This window comes from Homo sapiens, chromosome 5 (genome assembly GCF_000001405.40).
Source record: "Homo sapiens chromosome 5, GRCh38.p14 Primary Assembly".
Taxonomy (NCBI): Eukaryota; Metazoa; Chordata; class Mammalia; order Primates; family Hominidae; genus Homo; species Homo sapiens.
The window spans coordinates 116735007-116762648 of record NC_000005.10 but is presented as its reverse complement, the minus strand read 5'-3'; the positions used below and the strand labels follow the sequence as shown (position 1 = coordinate 116762648).

Here is a 27642-nt window from a genome sequence, read left to right as displayed (position 1 = left end):
AGTGTGGAGATTGTTAAAAAGAAAATCTTTAAAAAGGAAAATAAATTGCTAAGGGCTGGAGAGAAGAGGTGGGGGTGAGGCTGGAATAACAACCATTCTAAATCAGTGAGAATACTAATGGGAAAAGTTACACCTAGGGATTTTATGGGACCTGAGCTTTGTTTAGCACCCAGACCTCAGTCCTCATTTGAGAGAACAAGGCCCATAAGTACTTTTCCAATATTTGCCTAGATTGATAGAATAGGCTCTTCATTAATTTACTTTGAGCTTCAGCTCGTCTAGTTTGTATTATGCTTAATTAATCCAGTTAATTGGTGCTGGCCTGAACGGAAACAAAGACATGTAGAAGGCACAGGAAGTACAAAGTCAGGTTTGTGCTCCTGGTATGTGGGAACTGGGGAATTCTCACTGCAAGGAAGACATGCTCAGATTCAAGTTGCCTGAACTCTACAGGCTCCTAAATAAAGAACCTAAAATTCTGAATAAAAGAAGTAGAGTTGGAGCCCAGAGACAGAGTGAGGTATGGAATAACAGAAACTCACTGCAGAGTTCACACTTCAATCAGTGAGCCTTAAGGCGCTAAGAGGTCAAAACCTGAGCCTTTGGCTCAGATCCCTAGGTTTGGGTCCTAGCTCTGCCACACTTTGGCTGCACCATTTTAGCCACATTACTAATCCTCTTCGTGCTTCGGTTTTCTCATCTGTAAAACAGGGATAGTTTCATGCGCGTCCATGTGAGGAGACCACCAAACAGGCTTTGTGTGAGCAATAAAGCTGTTTATTTCACCTGGGTGCAGGTGGGCTGAGTCCGAAAAGAGAGTCAGCGAAGGGAGATGGATTATCATTAGTTCTTACAGGTTTTGGGATGGGCGGTGAAGTTAAGAGCAATGTTTTGTGGACAGGGGTGGATCTCACAAAGTACATTCTCAAGGGTGGGGAGAATTACAAAGAACCTTCTTAAGGGTGGGGGAGATTACAAAGTACCTTCTTAAGGGTGGGGGAGATTACAAAGTACATTGATCAGTTAGGGTAGGGCAGGAACAAATCACAATGGTGGGATGTCATCAGTTAAGGCTGTTTTTACTTCTTTTGTGGATCTTCAGTTACTTTAGGCCATCTGGATGTATACGTGCAAGTCACAAGGGATGCGATGGCTTGGCTTGGGCTCAGAGGCCTGACAGATATTACTTTTTCATAGGATTATGAAGATTCAATTCGATCATTTATGTAAAGTCCTAATTCAGTGTAATTCCTGGCACATAGTAAATATTCTGTAAATGATAGTTTTTATTAACTAAAAAAAGCAGTTGGTATTAAGCCACAAAAGTTCTGGTATTTGAATGTCTAAATAATTTTATTGTAAGTATTATGTATGAAGGGGGAAAAAGCCTTCCCCCCCCCCACCCCCCGCCACAAAAAGAAGGTCTGGATGGCATTTATTGGGAGAAGCTGGGTGCTAACTTGTCACATCATGAATCAGTCACCCTTTATCATTGATCTGTAATTCCAGAAATCCAGAACAGAATTTTTAGAATTTGCCCCTTTCTTAAAAGGGATATTTTACATTGTAATAATTTCACCCTGGGTTTAGCCTGTGTTTCTACAGTATTCTTCACCCTTTCTGGCCTATTTAGCTCAGAACGCAAGCTTGACAGCAAGACAAACAAATTCCTCAAATGAGACTGCCAGCCAGTATTTGGGCTATAAAGCATGGCCAATTTGCTTTCTCAGGATGGAGAATATAATCCCCAGAAGGTGGGTAGGCACAGAGTTCAAAAAGAAAGTGAATAACCTGTTCATCTGCCTTAGCCATTAACATTCTTGACTTTTCCATTTTGTGTCCTCTCTTGCAAACTCCAGCATTATCGAGGGCACTTTTGAGTGCCTGATTCCATGTCTTTGAACAAACAAAGTCGCCAACTACAGTTCCTCTCTCAAGAGCAAAACCTGAAATTTGTCAAGAAATAGTGAGTATTGTTTGCCAATGGATATAACTCAAATGTCAGACTCTGCTTCTGTACTTTTAGGCCCTGACCACACCAAACGGCCTGTGTTTATTCAGTGCCTTGATTTCTCTTCTCTTGAATCAGGAGGAATAGAATGTGCTACTACTCACTGCTTGGTTTATAAAGAGCTATGAAATCCCTGAAATTGAGTTGTTTGAAGTAGAGCTCTGGAGGTCACAAAAGGCCACCTTCGAGAGGGAGGGGCTACAGCTGAATCCCAGCTCTAACATTTCACAATAAAGTTGGAGTTACAACTATGCATATGTAGAAGCTTCCCTAGAAGTTTCAGCCAAGAGAAACCTCTCAGATATGAAAATCAGAACTCTCTTCCCCTTTCTCTTTCTCATGAAGAATAGAGCAGGATTATACCACCAGCTGTTTTCTTCTTCTTCGTTTTTGTTTACGGTTTCTTTAGTTAAATAACACCGAGAGGATTGGCAGCATAAGGTTCTGTCATGGCATTTTTGCTGCCTCACTTGATTCCATTAATCTTGAGACAGCAGGGCAGGTGGCTTCTAGGGGGGTCCTCCAGCCAGGCTGCTCATTAGGCTCTTGCAGCATGGGTGAGAGAGGCAGAGGGAAGCACAATTACTCAGCCAGCGGAGCTTCTCAGCATGGCTTCCTTTGTGCCAATAAGAGACTTCCCAGTCCTGACTCAGCCTCCGGAGGGACGCATAGCTGAGGACGCTGGAACGCAAGCCTGGTGGGGGACTGGCTCCCAGGCACTGGATCCATCAGCAAAGGAGAATTGTTCTGTGCCCTGAGCCTCTATTTACTAAGCTTATAAAGTCGATCATTTTCTTTTCTTTTTTATTTCTTTTTTTTTTGAAACGGAGTCTCATTCTGTCACCCAGGCTGGATTGCAGTGGCACGATCTCAGCTCACCGCAACCTCCACCTCCCAGATTCAGCAATTCTCCTGCCTCAGCCTCCCAGGTAGCTGGGATTCCAGGCGCCTGCCACCCCACCTGGCTAATTTTTGTATTTTTAGTAGAGACAGGGTTCCACCATGTTGGCCAGGCTGGTCTTGAACCCCTGACCTCAGGTGATCCACATGCCTCGGCCTCCCAAAGTGCTGGGATTATAGGCGTGAGCCACCGCACCCAGCCAAAGTCAACCATTTTCTAAGTGCTCACTTTGCTGTGTTAGTAATGACGATTATGTCACTGAAACCTTGAGTCTCATAGCACCTCAGCTAGCCTGTGACGGTTGAGAATGTTTTCAGCAAATTTTTCTAAATGCAAGAAACAGAAGAAAGCAGCACATCTTGTGGCAAAGTTCTTGTTTAAGTCCTGTTGTTTCAGCTTTTCCCAGTAGTGGTATTGACAAAGTACTAGGAGAATGGGCTGGAGTCAGCATTCCACTCAGGGAAGGAGCAGTTGCTCACACAGGAGCAACTTTTTTAGACCTAGGGTCTAAAAACGGAGAACGCTGAGTCTAAAAAAGGCCTCCAGAACCTGCCTGATGCCTGAAATTCTATGAAAGCACATCAGCAATATCCTCCCTGCAGTGGTCTCAAACTGGTGGCCCCAAAGAGGTTAAATTTCAAATCGTTTTAGTGTTTTTTGAGAGGGAGAGGGAAGGAATATGCTGTCAGTAATTAAAAATGGAGTGATTTTAGAAAACCTTCAGTTTTCTGTTGAAAATCAGAAGACTGGACAACACAAGGCCCTCTTTTCTGTGTGATAACAATCATCTAGAGCTGAGTGGTGGTCAGCCCACCTACACAATGCTGGCGCTCTCTTGCTCTCCACAGAAGCCACCAATCATGAGAGAGCAATCAATCATGATCTATTAATTCATGGTCCGTCTCGGGTCCTCAGAGTCTCCACTGCTTTCTCTTATTCTATGCTGTCCTGATTTCATATGTGTACATTGCCAACTTGTGGCACTTACTACATTTTGGCTTTTTTTGTGAGTAGAGTCTTATTTTATCCATCCTTTCTGTCTCAAATAGACTGTCCTTTTTTGGGAAAGAGAGTGTACAGGATCACTGTATTTCACCTGAATTCACTACCATGCCTTCTAAGTGATTGATTTATCTTAATACTTGACCACTTTTAAAATAAAAGAACCATGAACAGTCATCTCTACCTGTGTGAATGAAGAGAATGAGAGCAAATTTGATATGAGCTGTGAGGTGAGAGCACTCATAAGCTAACAATAGACACAAAAGAGTGATACTACAGTGTTTGGAATGGAATCCACTAGCCATAGTCACCAACTGGTGGTTCACAGCCTTGATCTAGCTCACAGATGTGCTTTGTTTGTTCTGCCCTTTGTTTCAAAAAAAAAAAGAGAAAAAAAAACATTTTTCTTTTAAGGCAAGATTTAAGAATCAACTGATAAATGGCTGATTCTAGACTTGAGGCAGGGAATATACAAGATAAGTCTGAAGCATCTTATAGTACTAGAAAGTAAGGAAGTACTCCAAAAAAAACCCCAAAGCCAAAAAAACTTGCAGAATGGTGGGGGGATGACAGAGGAACATGGGAGCCAACTGAAAGAGCTCCCAATGGCCAATATTGTCAACAATTTGAGCAACAAAGGAAATAACATAATATTGAATTGTAACTCAAAATATAAATATCCATGCATTCATACTTACGTAAAGAAATTATTGAATAAACTAATAAATGGGAGAAAAGTATCTCAAAAAGAAGAATTCCACATAAATTATGTAGCTACTTCACTCCTGTATCAGTTCATTCTCACATTGCTATAAGAAAATACCTGAGACAGGTCAGGCACAGTGGCTTATGTCTGTAAGGCTGAGGCGGGTGGATTGTTTGAGGTCTGGAGTTTGAGACCAGCTTGGCCAACATGGTGAAACCCCATCTCTACTAAACATACAAAAATTAGCCAGGGATGGTGGCGCATGCCTGTAATCCCAGCTACTTGGGAAGTTGAGGCAGGATAATTGATTAAACCTGGGAAGCAGAGGTTGCATGAGCCAAGATCACACCACTGCACTCCAGACTGGGTGACAAAGCAAGACTCCATCTAAAAGTAAAAGAAAAAAGAAAATACTGGAGACTGGGTAATTTATAAAGGAAAGAGGTTTAATTGACTCACTGTTCTGCATGGCTGGGAGGCCTCAGGAAATTTACAATCATAGCAGAAGGCATCTCTTCACAGGGTAACAGGAGAGAGAATGACTGCAAGCAAGGGAAATGCCAGATGGTTATAAAACCATCATCAGATCTTGTGAGACTCACTCACTATCACAAGAAAAGCATGGAGGAAACCACCCCTGTGATTCCATTACCTCCACCTGGTCCCACCCTTGACACGTGGGGATTATGGGGATTATAATTCAAGATGAGATTTTGGGTGGGGCACAGCCAAACCATATCATTCCACCCCTGGTTCCCCTGCAAATCTCATGTCCTTACATTTCAAAACACAATTATGCCACCAGCCCCAAAATCTTAAAGCATTCCAGCATTAACCCAAAAGTCCAAGTTCAAAGTCTCGTCTGAGACAAGGCAAGTCCCTTCTGCTTAAAAGCCTGTAAAATCACAAGCAAATTAGTTACTTCCTAGATACAATGAGGGTACAGGCATTGGGTAAATAGGTCCATTCGAAATGGGAGAAATTGGCCAAAACAAAGGGGCTACAGGCCCCATGCAAGTCTCAAATCCAACAAGGCAGTGATTAAACCTTAAAGTTCCAAAATAATCTCCTTTGACTCAATGGCTCACATTCAGGTCACACTGATGCAAGAAGTGGGCTCCCATAGCCTTGGGCAGCTCTGCCTTTGTGGCTTTGACGGGTAAAACTCCCCTCCTGGCTGCTCTTCATTGAGTGTCTGTGGCTTTTCCAGGCTCACAGTGCAAGCTGTCAGTAGATCTACCATTATGGGGTCTGGAGGGTGGTGGCCCTCTTCTCATAGCTCCACTAGGTGGTGCCCCAGTGGGGACTCTGTCCCCACTGTGTCTGACTCCACATTTCCCTTCTGCACTTTCCCAGCAGAGGTTGTCTGTGAGGACTTTGCCCCTGCAGCAAACTTCTGCCTGGACATCCAGGTATTTCCATACATCATCTGAAATCTAGTCAGAGGTTTCCAAACCCTGATTCTTGATTTCTGTGCATTCACAGGCTCAACACCATGTGGAAGCCACCAAGGCTTGGGGCTTGTACCCTCTGAAGTAATGGCCCAAGCTGAACCTTGGGCCTTTTTATTTTTTATTTTATTTATTATTTTTTTTGAGATGGAGTCTCCCTCTGTCACCCAGGCTGGAGTGCAGGGGTGTGATTTCAGCTCATTGCAACCTCCGCCTCCCAGGTTCAAGCGATTCTCCTGCCTCAGTCTCCCGAGGAGCTAGGACTACAGGCATGCGCCACCACGCCCAGCTAATTCTTGTATTTTTAGTAGAGACGGGGTTTCACCGTGTTGGCCAGGATGGTCTCGATCTCTTGACCTCGTGATCACCCGCCTCAGCCTCCCAAAGTGCTGGGATCACAGGCGTGAGCCACCGTGCCCGGCCCCTCCTTGACCCTTTTTAGCCAAGGCTGAAACAAGCAGCTGGGATGCAGGGTACCACGTCCCAAGACTGCACAGAGAAGTTGGGGGGTGGGGGGGTTGGCAGGGGGAGAGGTAGCCCCAGGCCCAGCCCACAAACCATTTTTCCCTCTTAGGCTTCCAGACCCATGATGAAAGGGGCTGCTGTGAAGACTTCTGACATGCCCTGGAGACATTTTCCCCATTGTCTTGGTGATTAACATTTGGCTCCTTGTTACTTATGCAAATTTCTGCAGCAACTTGAATTTCTCCCCAGAAAATGGGTTTTTCTTTTTTATTCTATTGTCAAGCAGCAGATTTTCCAAACATTTGAAGCTTCCTAACAAGCTTCCTCTTGAATACTTTGATGCTTAGAAATTTCTTCTGCCAGATACCCCAAATTATCTCTCTTATGTTCAAAGTTCCGCAGATCTCTAGGGCAGGGGCAAAATGCTTCCAGTATCTTTGCTAAAGCATAGCAAGAGTCACCTTTACTCCAGTTCCCAAAAAGTTCCTCATCTCCATCTGAGACCACCTCAGCCTGAACTTTATTATCTATATCATGATCAACATTTTGGTCCAAGCCATTCAATAAGTCCCTAGATAATTCCAAACTTTCCCACATTTTCTTGTGTTCTTCTAAGCCCTACCAAACTGTTCCAACCTCTGCCCATTACCTGGTTCCAAAGTTGCTTCCACATTCTCAGGTATCTTATAGCAATACCCCACTACCTTGGTACCAATTTACTGTATTAGTTCGTTCTCACATTGTTATAAGGAAATACCAAAGACTGGGTAATTTATAAAGAAAAGGTTTAATTGACTTATTGTTCCTCATGGCTTGGAAGGCCTCAGGAAGCTTACAATCATGGTGAATGGCATCTCCTCACAGGGCAGCAGGAGGGAGAATGAGTGCAAGCAGGGGAAATGACAGACACTCATAAAACCAACAGATCTCATGAAACTCACTCACCATCATGAGAACAGTATGGGGGAAACCACCCCCATGATTCAATTACCTCCACCTGGTCCCGCCCTTGACACGTAGGGATTATAGGGATTATGGGGATTACAATTCAAGATGAGATTTTAGGTGGGGACACAGCCAAACCATATCAACTCCCAAGGAGGCTGTGCATAGTGACTTTATTCTAAAGAGTACAGTATGGAGAGGGGGTGAAAGAGTAACTTTACAGTGGAGACAGCAGACAGACACTACCTCAGCCAGGTCATCAAGGTTAGTATAATCAGTCATATTTATAATATGTACCCTTGATATGATGTGATGAGAATGGCACTTTGCCTCTGTGCTCTTATATGACAGATGTATCCTCACCTGTCAGCAATAACTTAAGCATACCCCAAGCATGACACTGTGGTCTAAGAAGAATGTTGGCTCAGAATTCCAAACTAAGGAATCCAGGAGTGGCCAACCCAGAGGTTTACTCCTTATTTAAGAAGGACATCAGAACACCTGACCCATTCCTTGTTATGCAGCTATTCAGGGAATTGAGAACCCTGTTTTGAGTTAAATGGAGGTTTCTAGAGGGACAGTGCTAAGTAAAAAATGCTATTTAAACTGCATGCTTTTTACAAATGATAGTGCTTCTCCTGTCCAGCCCACAGTCGCTGTATGTAAGTCCTCCATAAACCCTATGTCTCCTTTGCTGGCTCTGGGTCTCCTCTTAGACCTGCAGACACAGTGCCATCCCTACTGGCATCATTAGGGGTCTGGCATGACAATTCTTCTTTCCAAAAACCTATAATCCCAGTCTAATTATGAGAAAAACATCAGACAAACCCCTATTGAGGGGACCTCTACAAAATACCTTCTCAGTATTTTGTAAAACTATCAAGGTCACCAAAAACAAGGAGTCTCAGAAACTTTCACAGCCAAGAGGAACCTAAAGAGACATGGCAACTAAATCTAATGTTATATCTTCAGTGGGATCTTGGGTCAAAAAAGGATGTAAAGTAAAAACCGAAGAAATCCATACGAAGTATGGATATTCATTAATAATGGTGTATCAATATTAGTGCAATAATTTTAACAAATATGCAGGTTGATCATCCCCAATTAGAAAACCCAAAATCTGAAGTGCTCCAAAATTTGAAATGTTTTGAGCACTGATATGATTCTCAAAGAAAATGTTCAGAGAAGCATTTGGTATTCTGGATTTTTCAATTAGCGACGCTCAACCACTAAGTATAATGCAAAAATCCAAAACAATTCAAAATCCAAAACACTTCCGATTCCGCAAGGGATACTCAGCTTGTACCATACGAGTTTAAGGTACTAATAATAGAGGAAATTGGTGTGGAAAAGATGGGAACTCTCTGTACTATCTTCATAACCTTCAAGTAAATCTAAAAGTATTCCTGAAAAGTATATTTTAAGAAACCAATGTAGTTCACAGTAAGTATATTTAAAAAATCAAGTATTAAGTATATTTTAAAAATCAATTTATTTCACATTTATTCACAATTTATTTCACATCTTGATTTCTAGCTCTTCAAGAACGCAGCGATTCTGAATGCTGATTATATCAGCGATTCTGAATGCTGATTGTGTCAGCGATCCTGAGATCAGAAGGCCAGTACTCTGGCTACAGCTGCCTCTCTACAACCTGCAACCTTATTTGCCAAGTAAAACAGCGGGAGAAAGAAGCCCCCAATCTAGCCGTCCAAATCACACACAAAGGCATCTAATTCACAGAGCCTAATTCACCTGTAGGACACTAGCTGTAGTCCAGAAACGTACGTAGAAGAATATGGAAATATATGCTGAGTGACTGTGTTAAGCACAGACTGATCCATCACACTGTTCTCCCCAACACTGAGGCCAAATGTGTTTTATCAATGTCCTTGCGTTGTTGTTTCTTACATGTGCCTCTGTTTTGCTCATTACATTACCTGCCTTACCCCTACAGGCATTGGGGTTTGCCACTCCTACCAAAACTTAAGGGCTATGACACAATTACACTGAAATATCATATGTGTTAACTGAGAAAACATCACACAAAATTGTTGCATAAATTAAATTCAATGGTAGGATAGGGCTTTGGAAAGTACAATAAAAATGTGAAGTGTTATTTTTATCATACACATGTTCCATTTTGTCTGTCCACACAAGTAACTAAAATTACAAATTTAAAGTTTACATTTAGTTACATAACTAAAAATATATTACATGTCACTATTTCAAACCATTATCACATGTATTTATCGAAATTTTATAAGCAAAAAAGTTATCTATTGTCCCAACAACAGTCTTTTTTATTTGATGAGCTCACTTAAAAAGTATCTCTCTTCATCCTTCAAAATTGCCAGTATTAGATCTGTTAAAGAAGCCCCTTTTCCCTAGGAATTCAAATGTTATTTGTCCACTAGCAAGAATCTTGCAATAGCTTATAGGAAAATTAACTGGCAGAAAACAACATTCAACTACTCATAGGCAGAAAAAATCCTGACTGAGTGAAATACCTGACTATAATCATCTGCTCTTTCTAGCTTATCTTTTCTTATTAAGACGATAATACCTGCATGGTAAAGAACATGCAAACAGCACCAATTTTCTTTCCCATTCTGCAGGTATTATTTTCTTGAAAGAAAATATCCCTGCAAGAAAATGTTCCAGCGGGGACTTTGAAACCTAAAAACAGATATTAAGGACCTATTATATGAGAGCCAGAATGGTGAGATCATGGAGTTCATCTATTCCAGTATCTTAACCTGACACAGAATCTCTGACATGTCGAAACCCCATGTGATTATTTCCACAGATGGGAACCTCACAATCTCATGAAGTTTTTGGTCTAAACCATTAACTTGAACTACCTTATAGAAAGGGCTTCTCTGCTGAAAGGAATTGGCCTCCCTTCTACTCGCTGGAGCTCAACAGAACACAGTTTTCCCTCTTTCCCCCTGGAGCCAGATGGGTGGCTTAAAAGAATTAGGTGAAAGATTTTGTAAGGCATTGTGGGCACTATAATAAACTGGCAAATCTATGCCCTTTGATTGGGGAAGATGCTCTGCAGCTCTCAAGGCTAAAAATGAGGGTCTGGTATTGCCTACAAAATTTTTTAAGCAAAGTAGGAATAAGAATCATTGTGTAAAGTTCTCTTTAAAAAGAAAAAACAGTAACTACAATGTGGACTAAATAAAACATATCTATGTTATACATTTACCCAGATACCAAAGACAACCAGTGGGTTTTTCCCCAAAGTCTTATTTTCTCTGAGCTCATCCTAAACTTGCTGCATAGTTGCATGCAGGTCACAATTTTTTGGGTCCTGGCTAGAGACAGTGCCCTAGGCTCTGGTTTCAGGCAAGCCTGGTATGAAATCCCAGCTCTGCATTTATCAATTGTTCAACCTAGGACACATTTCTTAAGTACCCTAATCCTCATTTTCTCTTTTGTGAAAAACAGAGTACACACCTTCTAGAGGCATTGTGAAAATTAAATTAGACAATGCATGTAAAGCACTCAGCAGGTGCCTGGCCTAGAGTAAGTACCACTGAGTACCTTGAAAATTCTTTGTCATGCTTCTCCCGACACACTGTTGTTCATACATGCTTATTTTTAAAATGTATTGTCCACAAGAAAAAATATTCCTGATATTTTGTTTTTGAACAATAGAGTATGACAGACCTGTTACTTAATAACATTACAACCCTGTACTTCTATTGAATCAGTGTCAGATTGTTGTTTTAATAGCTACATCACACTCTTGGCTCAGGTCAGGCTCATGATCGGCTAAATCCTCAGCAGCTTTTCATGAGGGCTGTTTCCAATCTGGGGATATGTCATCACAGACTAATGAAATTGATTTCTGGGGAACCCACATATGTCACTTTACACTCATGGAAGTTTGATTTCAGGGAGCTGGTTTGAGCCCTAACAAGTATGTTGTAGCAACTGCCTCCCAAGTTTATTAAGAGTATGGGTATTGAATCAAATAAAGTGCGTCTGAATCCTGGCTCAATTTCCCTATGTGTAAATTAAAGATAATAATAGAGCCTTACCTCATAGGGATGTTATACACATAAAATGAGATAGTGGATATAAAGCTTTTAGCAGAGTGCCTGGAACACAAGCACTCAATTCACCTTAGTGGTCATGATGAAAATGATGATGATGATATTGATGATGATGATGATGATGATGATTTTTATGTTGTCAAAATATTGAAAAGGGAAGATGATGCTTTGATACTCTAACAGATCTGGGAAATGTTTGTTCTGCAAGACATAAGTCATCTAGCAGAACTATTATTCAGTCTCTATTTGGCATGTTTCTTTGTCACTCTGCCAAATCCTGGGCAAGGAATATAGAAGAATATCCTGATGAGCTCATTCTTATTTAAGGTATAAATGACTTACTGAACTCTCTCTTCCAAGGAGTCATCCCTAGCTAAGATCCTCTGTCTATCTTATCAATGCTTTACATATAAAAATAAAATCTTCTAGCACTCCCAGACACCTGCCTATCTCACCATTTTGTGTGTGTGTGTGTGTGTGTGTGTGTGTGTGTGTGTGTGTGTGTGTGTTTTGGGGTGGGGGGAGGGTGAAGTTGTTTTTTTTCTCCCAGATCAGAGCATCCTGACAATATCTGATTTAGGTATGATGCCAGGAGCTATGGACACAAAATAAGATTATTTTTCTGCCTGTAGGAATATATATGGTGGAGAACTATCGTTCTTCAGGAATGTTTTACTTTCCCCCATTTCATTCCCACTCCTCTGCTTTTAGAAGTATGTTTGGAGCTCCTGCTTCTCTAAGAATTACTATTATCTCCATCACATCCACCCCAGGACCACCACTGCTACTACCTAGGCCAGGTATGGAACCCCAACTGTTTCCTCCGAATCATGCCCAAGGCACAGCCTATGAAACATTGCAACAGCCTTGCTTGGAATGTTTTCAGTACTTTCTTTCACCTTTCATTTTGTGTTTTCAAATTTCAACCTCTTTTTTTTTTATTTCAACTTCTTCTTTTTTTTTTTTTTTGGAGTTCCGCTCTTGTTGCCCAGGCTGGAGTGCAATGGCGTGATCTCGGCTCACTGCAACCTCCACCTCCTGGGTTCAAGCGATTCTCCTGCCTCAGCCTCCCAAGTAACTGGGATTACAGGCACCCACTAACACGCCCAGCTAATTTTTGTATTTTTTGTAGAAACAGGGTTTTACCATGTTGGCCAGGCTGGTCTCGAACTCCTGACCTCAGGTGATCTGCCTGCCTCAGCCTCTCAAAGTGCTGGGATTATAGGCATAAGCCACCATGCCCGGCATTAATTTCAACTTTTTAAGAAAAAAAGTTATGACCGGGCGCAGTGGCTTACACCTGTAATCCCAGCACTTTGGGAGGCCGAGGCGGGCGGATCACGAGGTCAGGAGATCGAGCCCACCCTGGCTAACACGGTGAAACCCCGTCTCTACTAAAAAAAAAAAATAGAAAAAATTAGCCAGGCATGGTGGCGGGCGCCTGTAGTCCCAGCTACCAGCTACTTGGGAGGCTGAGGCAGGAGAATGGCGTGAACCTGGGAGGTGGAGCTTGCAGTGAGCCAAGATGCACCACTGCACTCCAGCCTGGGTGACAGAGCAAGACTCCATCTCAAAAAAAAATAATAAAAAATAAAAAGAAAAACGTTAAGCCTTACAAAAGCAATAGTGCTTCCAAAATAAATCAAACTAAAATGGCACAGAGTGTAGTATATAAACCGCCTGCCCCTACTTTCTTGAGGCTGCCAGAGTTGACCCCCTGGTATAAGTTATTCCAAATGGTTCTCCACTCTCATGGCAACCATACATCACAGACACATAGAGAGGGCAGATTTTTTTTTGTTTATTTGCTTTCAGCTGCTCTTGATCCCATTTTACAAAATCTGACTTTTAATATGCATATTATCCTATAGATTTATTTTCCTTTTTGACAATACCTCATGGACATCCTCCAAGCTAACAGATGTAGTTCTAACTAGAATTTTAAATAGGTACATAATATTCCATGTTAAATATGTACCATAATTTATTTGCCTGTTGATAGACACTTATGTTGTTTTCCAGATTTTGCTACTAAAAAATAGAACCACAGTGTATGTGTGTGTGCGCACATGTGTGCGTATCTCCTTATATACAGATTATTTTGTTTCTGAGGCTAGATTTCTGCAGGCACTACTGGGTCAAGTGGGAGGTATATTTGTTATTTAATTTTATTAAGTTTTGCCAGATTATATAATATGAGGTTTGCTAATTATGTAATGTGACTGGCTTTAGGTTCAGTTTTCCCGAAAACATCACCTCTCTGATTATTCCCATAACTCCACGCACAGCAGCCTCCAGCATGTTCTGCTTGGTACCTGTGCCAAGACAGGAAACTCCAGGGCCAATGATCTGGGCCAGGGCAAGGGATGCCTATTATCACTCTTAGGGAAGACCAGGCAATCAGTTCTCAGTCCCACTAGTAAAAGGAAAGGTTGTGTGTCTAGTATCTTGAGTTGAAACTTGTTGCATTTTCCCATTGAAACAATTTTCAGACATAGTTAGATAGAGTTGAAATAGTACCACAGTACTACTAGTAGCAAATGACAGGTACATTAGGGCTAAAAAGCAAAGGATTTGTGGGCCAGTGTAGAAATCTAACCAGTGTTTTTAACATGGCTTCTGTGGAAAAGTGCACTTCAAATGTCAAACAGTAAGTGATCTTTTAAGACCCTGCTGGTTTCTGAGTTAAGAACTTATCCTGGCATTTTTAAGAGGGTATTTACAAATAGCAGATCTTAACTTGTGACGTAAAGCTAATGACAGAATTTAAGGCACAGTTATGGACATGATGAGCTAATAGTTTTGACCATGATAACTACCCTGAAGCCCCTGGCATTCCAGGTAGGTGATGGCTATCCACCCATGTATCATTCTGGACCTGTATTCATGCATTAACATGCTTCCTTGGGGTTGGGGGACAGTCAGGAGAGGCCTTGGGAGGGAGGGGAGGCCCACTGAGTGACTCCCTCAGGCCCAGGCAGGAACATAGACTTTGGACTTCTTACTCTAGCACAAGGTTCCATCTCTGGAGAGATGTGGGGGAAAGGGCAGGGAGTCTCATATTACTGGGGAGCTTCAAGTGCAAAAGAATTCCTGTGCTTGGCACACAACTCCCTGAATGCGGTAATGGAAAAACTTCATCTTTAAGAGTCAGCAGAGCATGACTTTGGACAAATTATTAAGCTCTCTCCATTTCAGTTTCCTTATTCAGAAAAAGCAGATAATACCAGTTGCCACCTCGTAGGTAGAATTTGAGAATTAAGGGAGACCATACATGCAGATTGTTTAACATTAGATATAGTACCTAGTAAACGCTCAATAACTACTAGCTACAACAACCATTATAACTATGTTAGGGCATCTGTAATTGTATAGTTCCTACCCCTCTCTACTAGAAGCTTCTTAGAGATCTACGGCATATGCTTACTTCAAATGAGTTATCAATATATCTCAGCAGGCACATCACACAGTTGTAGTCTCTAAATAACTGCGATCTGCTAGGTGCTAGTTGTTGGTAGTGATTAGGAAGATGACAGTGACGATGCCAAATAGCAGGCAAGCACTTTCTCAGCACTGGAATTCAGGAACAATTATGCCTGTAGAAAGGTATTGGGAAAAGTAAAGAATATAACACAAATTATGGCCAGGGTGAGAGGACGAAGGCAATGGGGAGCAAGAGTCATGGTCAGATTCACTGTGAAGAGTGGTGTTGTTCGAGCATTGGACTTGGATGCTGGAGATTGACGTGAGGTCCTTTAACAAGTCATTCTACCCCCTCTGGACTTGCTTCCTAGATCATATAAAAGGAAGAATAGAATCCGTGACCTGAAGATTTCTTCTTTCCTGTCTTCAATTCTTCTCAAACAAGGCCATTCAGAGCTTGACTTTGCATAGCTTGCTGGTCTATTAGCCAAGCCCTGATGAAAATGAGGCAAAGCATTGGGCTTCCCAGCAGGTGCTGCAAGTTGGCAGCAAATGAGAGACAAGAGAGTCATCTTGACTGGATTCTAGGTTTGTTTCTCTCTTCTAATCACAATACATTTGGCTCAATCATTTCTGGAAAGAGAATGACTCCCGTGGCCATCATGTTAGTAACTCCTTGGATAGAAATGGGACACTTTATTTTGTCTTTCTGCCAAGTTTCCAGCTCCAGAGATGTGGCTTTTAGGATTTCTCATAAAAGCCCAAAATGGTAACATAAATAAACTTACCACAATAATTTTCTACACTGCTCTCTAGCTTCCCAATGGAAACTCTTGTCTTTCTTCTAAGTCATCCTTCACAAAGCTCTCTCAGATTTATTATCTAAGGGGGTAATTCGTCATCTAGGATAAATACCACCTTCTTCCACTGGGCAGTACTATGCTTTAGGTGGCTATCGTTTCTATAGTATGCATAATTATATTTGGGCCCAGGCAAAAAGAAGCCTGTTAAGATAATAGGTTGTTTGTTTCTTTAGTTACATATTCCTAAAACAAGCAATTTGCAGTGAACTTTAGTTCTTTTCTACATTCCTAGGCTCTTGGGTCCCTTGAAGGATGCAATAACAGTGTTTTAAGTCAAGGGGATACACTGAAAGGTGCATGGATTTTGAAGGCACACAGAGCTCAACTACTTGGAAGGTGTGTAACCTTGGACAAGTAAACTAAATATCTCTGAGCCTTATTTTCCTCATCAGTAATAGGGAGATGGAAATTTTTATTTACAGGATTGTCATAATGACTGGAAGTGCTACTTACAAAGTGTCTAGTTTTGTGCTTGGCACATAATCAATGGCAATTATTATGGCATTTTCACATGGTAAAAAACTAGATCCTGGTACTCTGTAGGGTGAGAGAATTTACAATGTGTTAACTTAGTCTTTCAATATAATTTTCCACAAATGTTGCAAACAATATGCACCTTTAAAAATATGTAACGACTAAGCCTGAGTTGGGAGAATCATTTGAAGCCAGCCAGGATGGAGATTCACTGTCATGGTCCTGTCCTTAGCAAGAAGCTTTCAAAGGCAAGCTTTGGTATAGATCACTCTGACCAAGGACCCATTACCAAGATGATGACAATTTGGTAAAACTTTGGAAATAAATATGGATCTTGGAGTGTTATATGTGATTGATTGCCCTTCTCTCAATTAATTAATTAATGTATTCAAAAAATGTTTACTGAGCATCTACGCTGCACTAGGCTTTATTCCAGGTCTTAAAGAGACCAAAGCAGACAGTCAGCTTTTATGGAGGCCCTGAACTCCCATAAAATCCCCATCACCAGATCAGGGGCAGAGGCCCTAAAAAGCAAATGTTCTAGAGTGGTGCTGGCCAATAGGGCTGTTAGCCATTAAATACATGTGGCTATTCAAATTTGAATTGTTATTTTAATGAATTAAAATAAATTAAATTCAAATTAATTAAAATAAAATTCAAAATTCAACTCTTCAGTCACATACACCACATTTCAAATACTCAGGAGTCACATGTGGCTACTCTAATGGACAATGCAGATATGGAACATTTCCATCATCTCTGAAAGCTCTGTTGGACAGCACTGTCTCTAGAGCCCATGCAAGCTGAAACCAAGTGCACGACCGCAGACCTACAGCATCTGGGGCACAATTACAATGTGTCCACAGCTATCCCATCTGCCAGAAGCTGTCTCAATCCTTCTCTCCACTGAGGACAACGAGGCTGGATGTTCTCCACTCACTCTCTATACTAGGTCTTCTCATTGAATCATCCTCAGGCAATAGGAAAGACCCCAGCTCATCTGTACCCACATTTACATTTTCTTCCCTAAAAAAGCATCCCTGGTCACCTATATGCCCTCTAACTCCTTCTTTAGATATTATTTCCCTAGGCATCAAGTGAAACACACACAGGGACCTATTTAATGACCTCCATTATCCTCAGACTACCCTACAACCCACTATTTGTTTGCCCATTTTGGTTTTTTCAGAGAGCCTCAATCTTGTGGCTCTAACATTTAATTTCAGGTAACTATTCTGGGTCTTTTCTGCCTTGCCACCGTACTTGGAAACACATTACCAGATCTGACTCTTGAAATCATTTTGTACACAGTCCCTGGCCCTCACTTGCCACACGGTTCTGAACGTCTTATACTCCTGGGGAATGGTCAAGGTGGTTCAACCCTCTTAGAATACCAGGATATTCCTTAGTAAATTACTGTCACAAAACTATATGGTGTCTAGATTCATGCTTGAAGTGTTCTTTGATGAATGAGGCTAACCATGCAGAACTGAATTTCTGCCATATGTAAACTCACTATTGTGTATACTGTACTAATTTTTCCTGTTTATAATTTGTAACTTGAAAATAATGCAGAAAACTCAGTATAATCTCTCATAGAGTGCAATGACTTGGATTAAAAAAATTCAATTTGACTGTGGAATGAGTAAAAGGATTGATTCTTTCATGTAACAGATTTATCTTCCTAATTACTTTATGCCTGGCCTAAAATCAAAAATAATTTCCCTAGTTACACACTAATCACTACATAAGAGGTGAGGAAAGGCATGTAAAAGCATGTCAACAAGGGACACCTAATATGTGATTTTAAGGTTTCCTGGAAGAAAAATATCTGCAAAGTTGTTGATTTGTACATGGGAAGCAAAGAGCTAGTAGAATATACATAAATTTATTTGTCCATCATATTTTTTAATTGTTCTTTTTTCAGTTGCTTCATTGCCTCCCCTCATCACCCCCATACCACGTTCACACCCTTCCAGATGGCTGAACCTGCTCATTTTGACTTCCTGGATCATTTTCTCCCATTGGTCTGGCCAAGCACAGGTGGTGCTCAGGCACTCGATGTGTCTCAGCACACACTTTTATTCTGAAAACATGCATTCGATGTTCCATCTTCTGCAGTAATTACTGGTCCCTGTCTACTTCTCTGTATTTTTCCACTTTCACACTGCTTTAAAGAACTGCCCAATACTGGGTAATTTATAAAGGAAAGAAGTTTAATTGACTCACAGTTCCACATGTCTGGGGAGGCCTCAGGAAACTTACGATCATGGCGGAAGAAGAAACAGGCACCTTCTTCACAAGCCAGCAGGAGAGAGAAGAGAAAGTGAAGAGGAAAGAGGCCTTTATGAAACCATCAGATCTCCTGAGAACTCACTCACTGTCATGAGAACAGCACAGAGGAAATGGCCCCATGATCCAATCACCTCCCTCCTTCAACACGTGGAGATCACAGGTCCCTCCCTTGACACATGGAGATTATGATTCAAGATGAGACTATAGTGGGGACACTGAGCCAAACCGTATCACTGTCTCACTGCATTTCCCTCCCCACTCTCTGGCTTTCTCTTAGTTCACATCTGGCCTGCTCATCTTCCCCTGAATATACCAAGCATGCTCCTGCCTCAAAATATTTGTATTTACTGCCTCCCCTCTCTGAAATAGCTGTTCTGGAGGCATCCACAGGCTCAAGTATGTTTTCAAGAAAAAGCTTTCCTGATTGCTCTTTTTCCTTTCTCGTCTTAAATGTTTATAGCAGTTTTCATCAGCTTAGATTTATATATATGTAAGATATATATATAGATATATATATATATATATATATATATATATATATTAGTCTACCCACCCACTAGACCCTTGCTGAGTAATAAATCATTTCAAAACCTAGTGTCTAAAAACAGCAACAATTTATATAGTTCATAATTCTTTTTTTTTTTTTTTTTTTTTGAGGTGGACTTTTGCTCTTGTTGCCCAGGCTGGAGTGCAATGGCGTGATCTCGGCTCACCACAACCTCCGTTTCCCAGATTCAAGTGATTCTCCTGTCTCAGCCTCCCAAGTAGCCGAGATTACAGGCATGCACCACCACACCCGGCTAATTTTTTTTATTTTTAGTAGAGACAGGGTTTCTCCACGTTGGTCATCTTGGTCTTGAACTCCTGACCTCAGGTGATCCACCTGCGTCGGGCTCCCAAAGTGCTGGGATTACAGGCATGAGCCACCATGCCCAGCCCTTATAGTTCATAATTCTATAGTTTGGCAATTAGAGCTGCCCATAGCTGGGTGGTCCCTCTGGTCTGGGGCAGGCTTGGTTGATCTTGACTGAAGCTTATTCATCTGAATTTATCAATGGGGTCAGCAGAGAGCAGACTGACCCTTGGCTGGGCTGTTGAATTTTTTTCTATGTGACCCCTTATCCTCTAGCCAGCCTGCTTAGGCTTGTTCGTATGGTGCTCAGCGTTCCTGGCACATCAGGGTTGCAGTAAGCAATTACCCTTCGTACCTCTGAGTGTGTCACATTTGTGACAGTTCCATTAGCCAACCCAAATTCAACTCCAAAAGGGTTAAAAGAAAATTAGATTCTGCCTCTTGTTGGGAGACCCTGTAACATCACTTTGCAAAGTCCTAGGTGCAAAGAGAGGGATTTTTTATTATTTTTAGGAATGATTCCAGGAACTAGATCAGTTTTGTTTACTTCTGTATCCCACGCATCTGAAATATTAAATAGTAACTGATTCAGAGCAATTCCTCAATTGTTATTTCAGTGAATATATAGAGGCAACTCCAGAGGGACAAGAAACAGGAAACAAAATCACCAGAACACCATTATGGCTAAACACTACTTCTGTGATCGTCACCACTGTATATCCACCATCACCTCTCACTTGAGGCTCCTATAGGGGATGTGCACCAAAGCTTTCTCTTTGTATTGCTGGCTCAAGCTGTGAAATCTTACCTGGAACTTTCAATTGCCCCAGCCTAGGTAATGCCTTTGGTCTGCCTCTTAGAAGGTGGAGATGAAAGACCAAGCTACAAATATCTACACATATTGGGGATATTCCAACAAAATAAAACAGGAATGAATGTTGGAGAGATCAACCTCCCCCAAATCCTCACAGATATCCAGTACAGATACACTATTTAGAAATTTTCTTAATGGACTATTTTTTGTTAATGGATAACAATAGCTAATATCTATCTGGACTATACAAATATACACACACCTACGCACACAAGTAATTTGCAGAAGAGGGTAGCATTTAAATTCAGCCAAATAACCACTCTTTCCAAAAACAGCTGTTTAGTGAATGAATTAGTTATTTTGCTTCTTTAAAAAATCATTTTGATTCAGATAGAGGCTGCAAAGTTTTCTGTGTAGAGAATGCTTGCTACCCATTTATTTCACAAAAGAATCATTAAAATGACTAGATAAAAAAAGCTGTAACTATCATTTAAAGTAGTCATATAGAATCAAACACAGAGACCCCGTACTACTGTCACTTAAATAAATGCATGCTTTAAAAAGTAGAGTACCTAGAATTGGTTACTGTCATGCAGAGCAGTCTAGACAATTTCAACTGTATTATAAAAGACTTAGAGGCAATAATAGGATCTTCTGGCCTTTAAATCAAAGCTTCTTAAGAAGAAAAAGGAAGCTGTAGAAAATACTCGAATTACCCAAAACTGGTACCATTTTTTTTTTTTTTTAAGACGGAGTCTCACTCTGTTGTCTAGGCTGAAGTGCAGTGGCATGATCACAGCTCACTGCAACCTCCGCCTCCCGGGTTGAAGACATTCCCCTGCCTCAGCCTCCCACATAGGTGGGACTATAGGCATGTGCCACCATGCCCAGCTAATTTTTTTTTTTTTTTTGTATTTTTAGTAGAGACGGGGTTTCACCGTGTTAGCCAGGATGGTCTCGATTGCCTGGCCTCGTGATCCTCCCGCCTCTGCCTCCCAAAGTGCTGGGATTACAGGAGTGAGCCACCGCGCCCAGCCCCAACTGGTACCATTTTTATTTCCTTCAAGTTTAGAAGACAGTTACATAACCATCACTATCACACACACACTGAACACCATGTCCAGTTGTGTCCAATAATCACCCTTTGTTCTTTTAACTATCTTTTTGCCTAGAAGGCAAAAACATGTTGGTGTCCCCTAGAAGCTAAGGGAGATGCCCATTCAGATTGAAACTCCTAACTTCAAGGCCTGTGGTTTTAAGAACTCCAAGGAAGCTTGCAGCAGGTCAAGCAGCAGCCCAATGCCTGCCCATATCCCCTGGCCCTTTCTGTGCTAGTAACTTCTGACCTGATTTCCCAGTGCCACCACCTGCTTCTCTCTGCCTGAGGCTTTCTCCAGCCATGGAAGCTTATGTTGCCGCCTGTATGCCAGGCCAGAAGCTGCAGGGAATTAACACTCCCCAACACAGAAGCCCTCAACCACAACCAGGGGAATGCATATAAATATGCAAGTTTCCTGGCCCCTTGAACAGGATAATTCTGAGGTGTATGCTTCCTCATAAGAACAGATGTCTACCAGGGTTTCTCAGTGGGGATTAAACTCCATTAGCCCACAAAGGTTACAGCAAGTTTCGATGGCTGCCTTCCCTTTCCTGTTCCACTCCCTCAATCCCTTGCCAGGGTCTCCCTCACCTCCCAATACATTCCTGATACAGAGTTGGCTTGTGGAGGAACCCAAATTAATACAAGGCTCAGCTGTCCAGCCATCCCTTAACACCATGAAGTGGTCCTTGGAGCTCATTGGTTTGAGAGTGGGGTTCCAGGTGAAAATGCAAAACCCCTGAAAGAAGCCTCCTGTCAAGCATTGTGAGCTATTCATAGTTTAATGAGCAGAAGGGACTTGACAGCCACCTAGGCAGGTAGGAGTGAAAAAGAAGAGACCAGGAGTCTGGGTGGTGGAAAAAAGCACACCTAGGAAGGAGAGAGGCGAGGCTCATCACTCCATTCCCTCTCTTGGCTGGGAAAAAGTTGCTCTAGATTGAACACAGCTCTAACTCAAATCAGCCCCACTGCACATGAAGTCCGATCACCTCGATTTCATTTGACTGTGTCCTGTGCTCTGTCTGAACCTTGATTTCCTCATCTTGAAAATGGGAATACTACTATATTAATACCTCCCCCTGAGGGTTGTTAGAATTAAGTAAAATATTCTGCATAGTGGACTAAGCACAGTCCCTGGTTCATACTTAATTTAACGATTATTATTAATTCTTTCTCATGATTATCATTACCTTTTCAAATCATACAATTAGGCTTGAATTTCTAATTTGCCCCCCTGACCTACCAGGCAGACAAAGTTGCCACAAGGATCCAATATCAAAGCAAATGATAACCACAAAAATCAGAGCAGCTGCTGCGATTTGCACATCTTCTCTCCACCTCCCTCTTCCCCTGGCACACACACCAGCCCCACTGACTGTTGAGCCTGTCCATTTCCTTTTTCCTTCCTAAGCTGGGCGGAGATAGACAGGAATCTCATGTGCTTTGAAAGACGCCGAACAGCTGCAACAAAAAACAAACGGGAGAAAGGAACAGTCACACTCATCAACACAAGGTGAATATGCGGTGGGAAATGCTCACATCTCATGTCCTCTCCTGTCCAGCTCTGCTTCCCTGTGTGAGCTGCTCTGCGGCACCGACAGCCTTCCAGAGCCATTTTTCAGGCACTTTGCAGCAGATGTGATCGTTATAAAATGCACTGTCCCAGGACTTAGGCATTTATCTGTTTTCCATAATTTCAGTTTTTACTACCTTTCCTTTAAAGACAGCAAGACACAGATTGAGCCATAAACTGTCAGATTTGTTATCTTATGAGGCTACTAATTGCCTAAAATGTGAGATGATTTGAATTTCCAATCAAACAGACAGATAGGAACACACATTGCAACTCCAGCAGGAGTTGTAAAACTCTCGAGCTCTGTTTTCCCCTTTTAATCTCTATCAGCTCAGAGTATTGATATGGACATAGAGAAAATAAGTGCACATTCATAGATGCATTTCATCAAAACCAGGCTCTGAGTGGCTGGAAGTAATACTGGACTCATCACCAAATACCCCCTTTCCCTTCTGTCCTGGTGGGTATAAGCTGACGATGCGCTGGGAGTGATGTCAAGAATCAGGAAGATTATGGAAACCGCAAGTTAAGAATCAGTAGAAAGGGTGGCTGGAATTCTGCCTGGAAAGCAGTTTTGAAGCCAGCAATGTAAGAACTAACACATTTGCAGAGACCAGTTCAGACAATTAGGACATGTCCTCTGTGGACAAAGTAACAGATGTTGCTGATTTTTTATTGCTGTTGTTCTTGTCTGCTTGTTTTGGATTGGTTGGATGTTTTTGCTTTGGATGGACAAGATGGGGGAGAAGGCAGGACATATACTTTTCAACATGATTTCCCAGATGGAACCCTTTGCCTGGCAAGGTTTACACCTTGACACTTGTCTGGCTCTGGCAGATAAGGATTTGAGAGCCGGTAGTTGAGTTGGGAAGTGATCCCAGGAAATAGCAGTAGGGGAGTAGGGGAGAGAAGTAGGGGAAAGGAAGGAGGCCAAAATACAGTGTGCTAATAAGCAGGTTTTTCTGTGAGCAAGCGGGATGCAATCCTGCCTGAGCGCCTGGGGAACTCCATACAGCAAGCCTCAGACTGGCCCCACTCTAGAGGCAAGGAAGCTGGGGTATTTATCCAAGTTACTGAATGAGGCTGCCTCCAGGGTCATTAACTCTGAGAACCGAGCAAAGCCGTGGGAGCCTACAGAGCAGGGCCTGCCTAGGGGATGTGGGCAGGGCACCAGCAGCATCAGCTATAGTCTCCACTCTTCATTGTCTGCCCTGTTCCAGGCACAGGAGCAGCTGGTGGCCAGGAGCCAAAGCAAGCACCAGGAAAACCTGATTCCAGTAAGAGCCAGCAGCCCTAAAAAGGAAGTGGTACTATGCACATGTGGTGATGTTTTGCTAGGCGCACTATTGTGGGTTCTGAAAGGGGCCCTCTGAGAGGATTTGCAATGCCTATCAAACCATCCAGAAAGGAGCTTCCAGCTCAGCGGTGTGATGGCGCTCAGTGGGTAACAGGCATGGAAAAGCTAAGGCCGCCTGGGACTTGGGGCTAATTAAGTGCAATCCTGTTTCTCCTTCCATCACTGCTGAAACACATCAGCCAAAATCTCCTAAAAGCCCTAAATTTGCAGCCATCTTCATCTCTTTAATTACTGTGTCTGGTTCACTTTATTTGCAAGCATGGGAGCTTTTTACAGCATTTTCACATTTCTGTGCAAGGTGTCAAAGAACCATAAAGACCCCGGGAGAGAAGAGAGGAAAAAACTCTCAGTCAGGCCAACGGCTATGTGACTGGCCCTTTCTCTATGCACTAAAAAGGTATTTAAACAGTGTAAACCTGAAGAGAGCATAAGTTGGCAAAGCTCTGAAGCCTAAAGATTCTAGAACTCAGTCTAAATTGAGAGGGGGCAGCCGGAAAAGGCGGTAGAGTGAGTACTGGGCATGCCACCCAGGCCCTCCCCTTCAGGACCAAGGGTTGTTTAAAGTTGCTGGAAGCATTGCAGCTGGCATCTCACAGCCTAGTCCCTCTTGGGGAATTGTCCTCAGCTGAAAGGAGCTGCCACACCCAAGGGTGCCTTCCCTCCCTGGGGCATCCCTCCTTTAAGAACAGATTTATGTGGAGTACAAGCCCCTTCCACCTTGGCTTTAGTTGAGACACCTCTGAAGGGCCATCCCAGCTCCAGGGATCCCTATAGGATCAGTTGAGGGCCCCCTTCCCTGCTTTCCTCAGACTAATGCTGTTCCCAGAAGCAATTCACAATAAACTTCCTACACATACAGTGCTGCCTCAGAGTCTGTTTTTTGGGAGAGGCAACCTATGACAGCCATGGATGGTGTGTGAAATGGCAGACATGGTGACACCTGTCCAGATGTTTCTGGAAGTCACCGTGTTGAGGAAAAGCACCCCACATACTGAATGGGTGGCATTTCTCACTATTATTCCACAGTGTCCTTACTGCATTCTAAAAAATTAGCACATTTAACATGATTGAAAATGTTACTGCATAAAATGTCTGCATTGCAAAATAAAGCACTAATACCTTAACAAAGGTACCAAGTGAAAAATTAAGGAAAGTAGTTGAAACATACATGATAGACAAAGGGATAACTTTATTAATATATAAAGAGCTTTTGAAAATTAATAAGACCAGCAACCAAAAAGTGAAATGAAGAACATGAACGGAGTTTGCAGAAAAACAAATTACAAAATGGCCTTCTCACCTATAAAAAGATATTTGGCTTACTCATAAGAAAATAAATGCAAATGAATACTATCCTGAGATGCCATTTTCACCTAACAGATGAATGAAGATCCAAAAGTTGAATAGCATGCTGTGTTGGCATGTGTGTGAAGTAATAGATACTCTCATAAAATTCTGGCAGGTGTATAAACTGGTACAACCTCTTTGGAAGGCAAATTGGCAGTAGGAAATGCACATACACATTGACACAACAAGAATTTGGCTCTTCTAAGGACATATAAATCCAAAAAGTGTACAGGGCATACATATGGGGTTGTTCCTTTTTGCATTGTTTATAGTAACAAAAGACCAGGATGTTCAAAATGTTAGAATGATTAACAAACATCAAAATGTTCATCATTACCAGATTGAGTACATTTATTGTAAATCCATCAATAAAATATTCTTCAGCCTAACTCTCCTCTGCTCACCCTGGAAAGGACAAGTTCCAGGGCCAAAACGACCCTGAGGAGAGGAGAGCTGGCTGTCAAAGCTATAAAACAGGTAGAGCCTGGCCTAGCATTTCCGTGTGGACTCAACTTCTTTCCCAGGTTTCCTCAACCTTACTATCACTCTGGGCAGCAGCCTGGATTTAATAATCTTTGCAATTCATTGCGCTTCTTATGATAAACAGTTGATGTAAAAACATACTTTATCACCTTTTATAGTCTAACAGGTTATGCAGTTCATTATTCTGACTTATATTAGCCTCTCACTTGAACAAACAATTGTTTGTAATGTAACTATAAATTATATTTAATTTTGGGATGTTCCATCCAATGCAAGGAAGTTTTTCTGAATAATCTTGGTAGAGAGTTCATTAAATAGCTTTGATTCACAGAATGATTAAAAAGCACATCTTGCATAGGTTCATTCTATTTGTTATGGTCTCTAGTATCTTTATTCAGAGGAGTTTTAAGGGTCTTCTATAATCTATGTCAGCCATAAATTACTGTGTTAAGGGAGAAAGAATCTTTGAAGCAAAACCTTCTTTAAATATTTTTTTGAGGCCAGGCGCGGTGGCTCACGCCTGTAATCCCAGCACTTTGGGAGACCGAGGCGGGCGGATCACGTGGTCAGGAGATCAAGACCATCCTGGCTAACACGGTGAAACCCCGTCTCTACTAAAAATACAAAAAATTAGCCGGGTGTGGTGGTGGGCGCCTGTAGTCCCAGCTACTCAGGAGGCTGAGGCAGGAGAATGGCATGAACCTGGGAAGCGGAGCTTGCAGTGAGCTGAGATCATGCCACTGCACTCTAACCTGGGTAGCAGAGCAAGACGCCACCTCAAAAAAAAAATTTTTTTTTCGAGATACTGATTTCTGAAAAATTAACAGAGAAACCATAATTTGCAAAGCCAAAAGGCTCAGAAACCTGCTTCTTCTTGGCAAGGGTAAAATATTCTTAAAAACGTCCTAAATATTCTTCAGAAACAAAATTACAATGGCCAAAAGAAGAGGTAAGCACGGTTCCAGCAAACCTCTATCCAGTGCTTGTTTAAAAATGGGCTGCCCTTTCCACAAAGAAGCCTACGTTATCTATCATAGCAGGTGTCATTTATAGCCAAGTTTTTCCAATTCTGCCTTACACAGACTGCAACGAACTCTGCAGAAAAATTTCCAACGCATATAAGCTCAGAAGCACACACCTGGATTTCAGATCTCAGTAAACCTGGATTAGCATACACCATTCACTGACTCAGCTGCACAGTTGAATCCCATGGATATTGCAACAAAGGTTTGAAGAAGAGATGAATTGTGCTGGGCCTTGTCAATTCATTCCAAGTGTCAAGATGACATAAAAAGGCACAGGGATATTTCTTTACTGGTGCAGCTCTTGAGATAACATGCGGGAGGGAACTCTGTTCGCTCTTTTGAAGAACTGAAATACCATTCCTCATATTACACAAATGAACTGATGCATCATCAATCATTGGTATTTGAAAGGACTTTGGACCATGGGATGCATTATTCTCAACCATAACCTGCATATTGTTTTTAATTGCTCTAACTAACCACATAAG

The 27642-nt window shown here is 41.9% G+C and overlaps 1 long non-coding RNA gene across 1 annotated transcript; it reads left to right on the top strand.

Moving 5' to 3' along the window:
- Window positions 1-439: 439 nt before the first annotated feature.
- LINC02214 (long intergenic non-protein coding RNA 2214) lies at window positions 440-19347 on the top strand. The gene is made up of 4 exons (NR_104678.1): window positions 440-520; window positions 1634-1754; window positions 1860-1966; window positions 19261-19347. It is a non-coding gene; the product is annotated as a long intergenic non-protein coding RNA 2214 (long non-coding RNA).
- Window positions 19348-27642: the final 8295 nt, after the last annotated feature.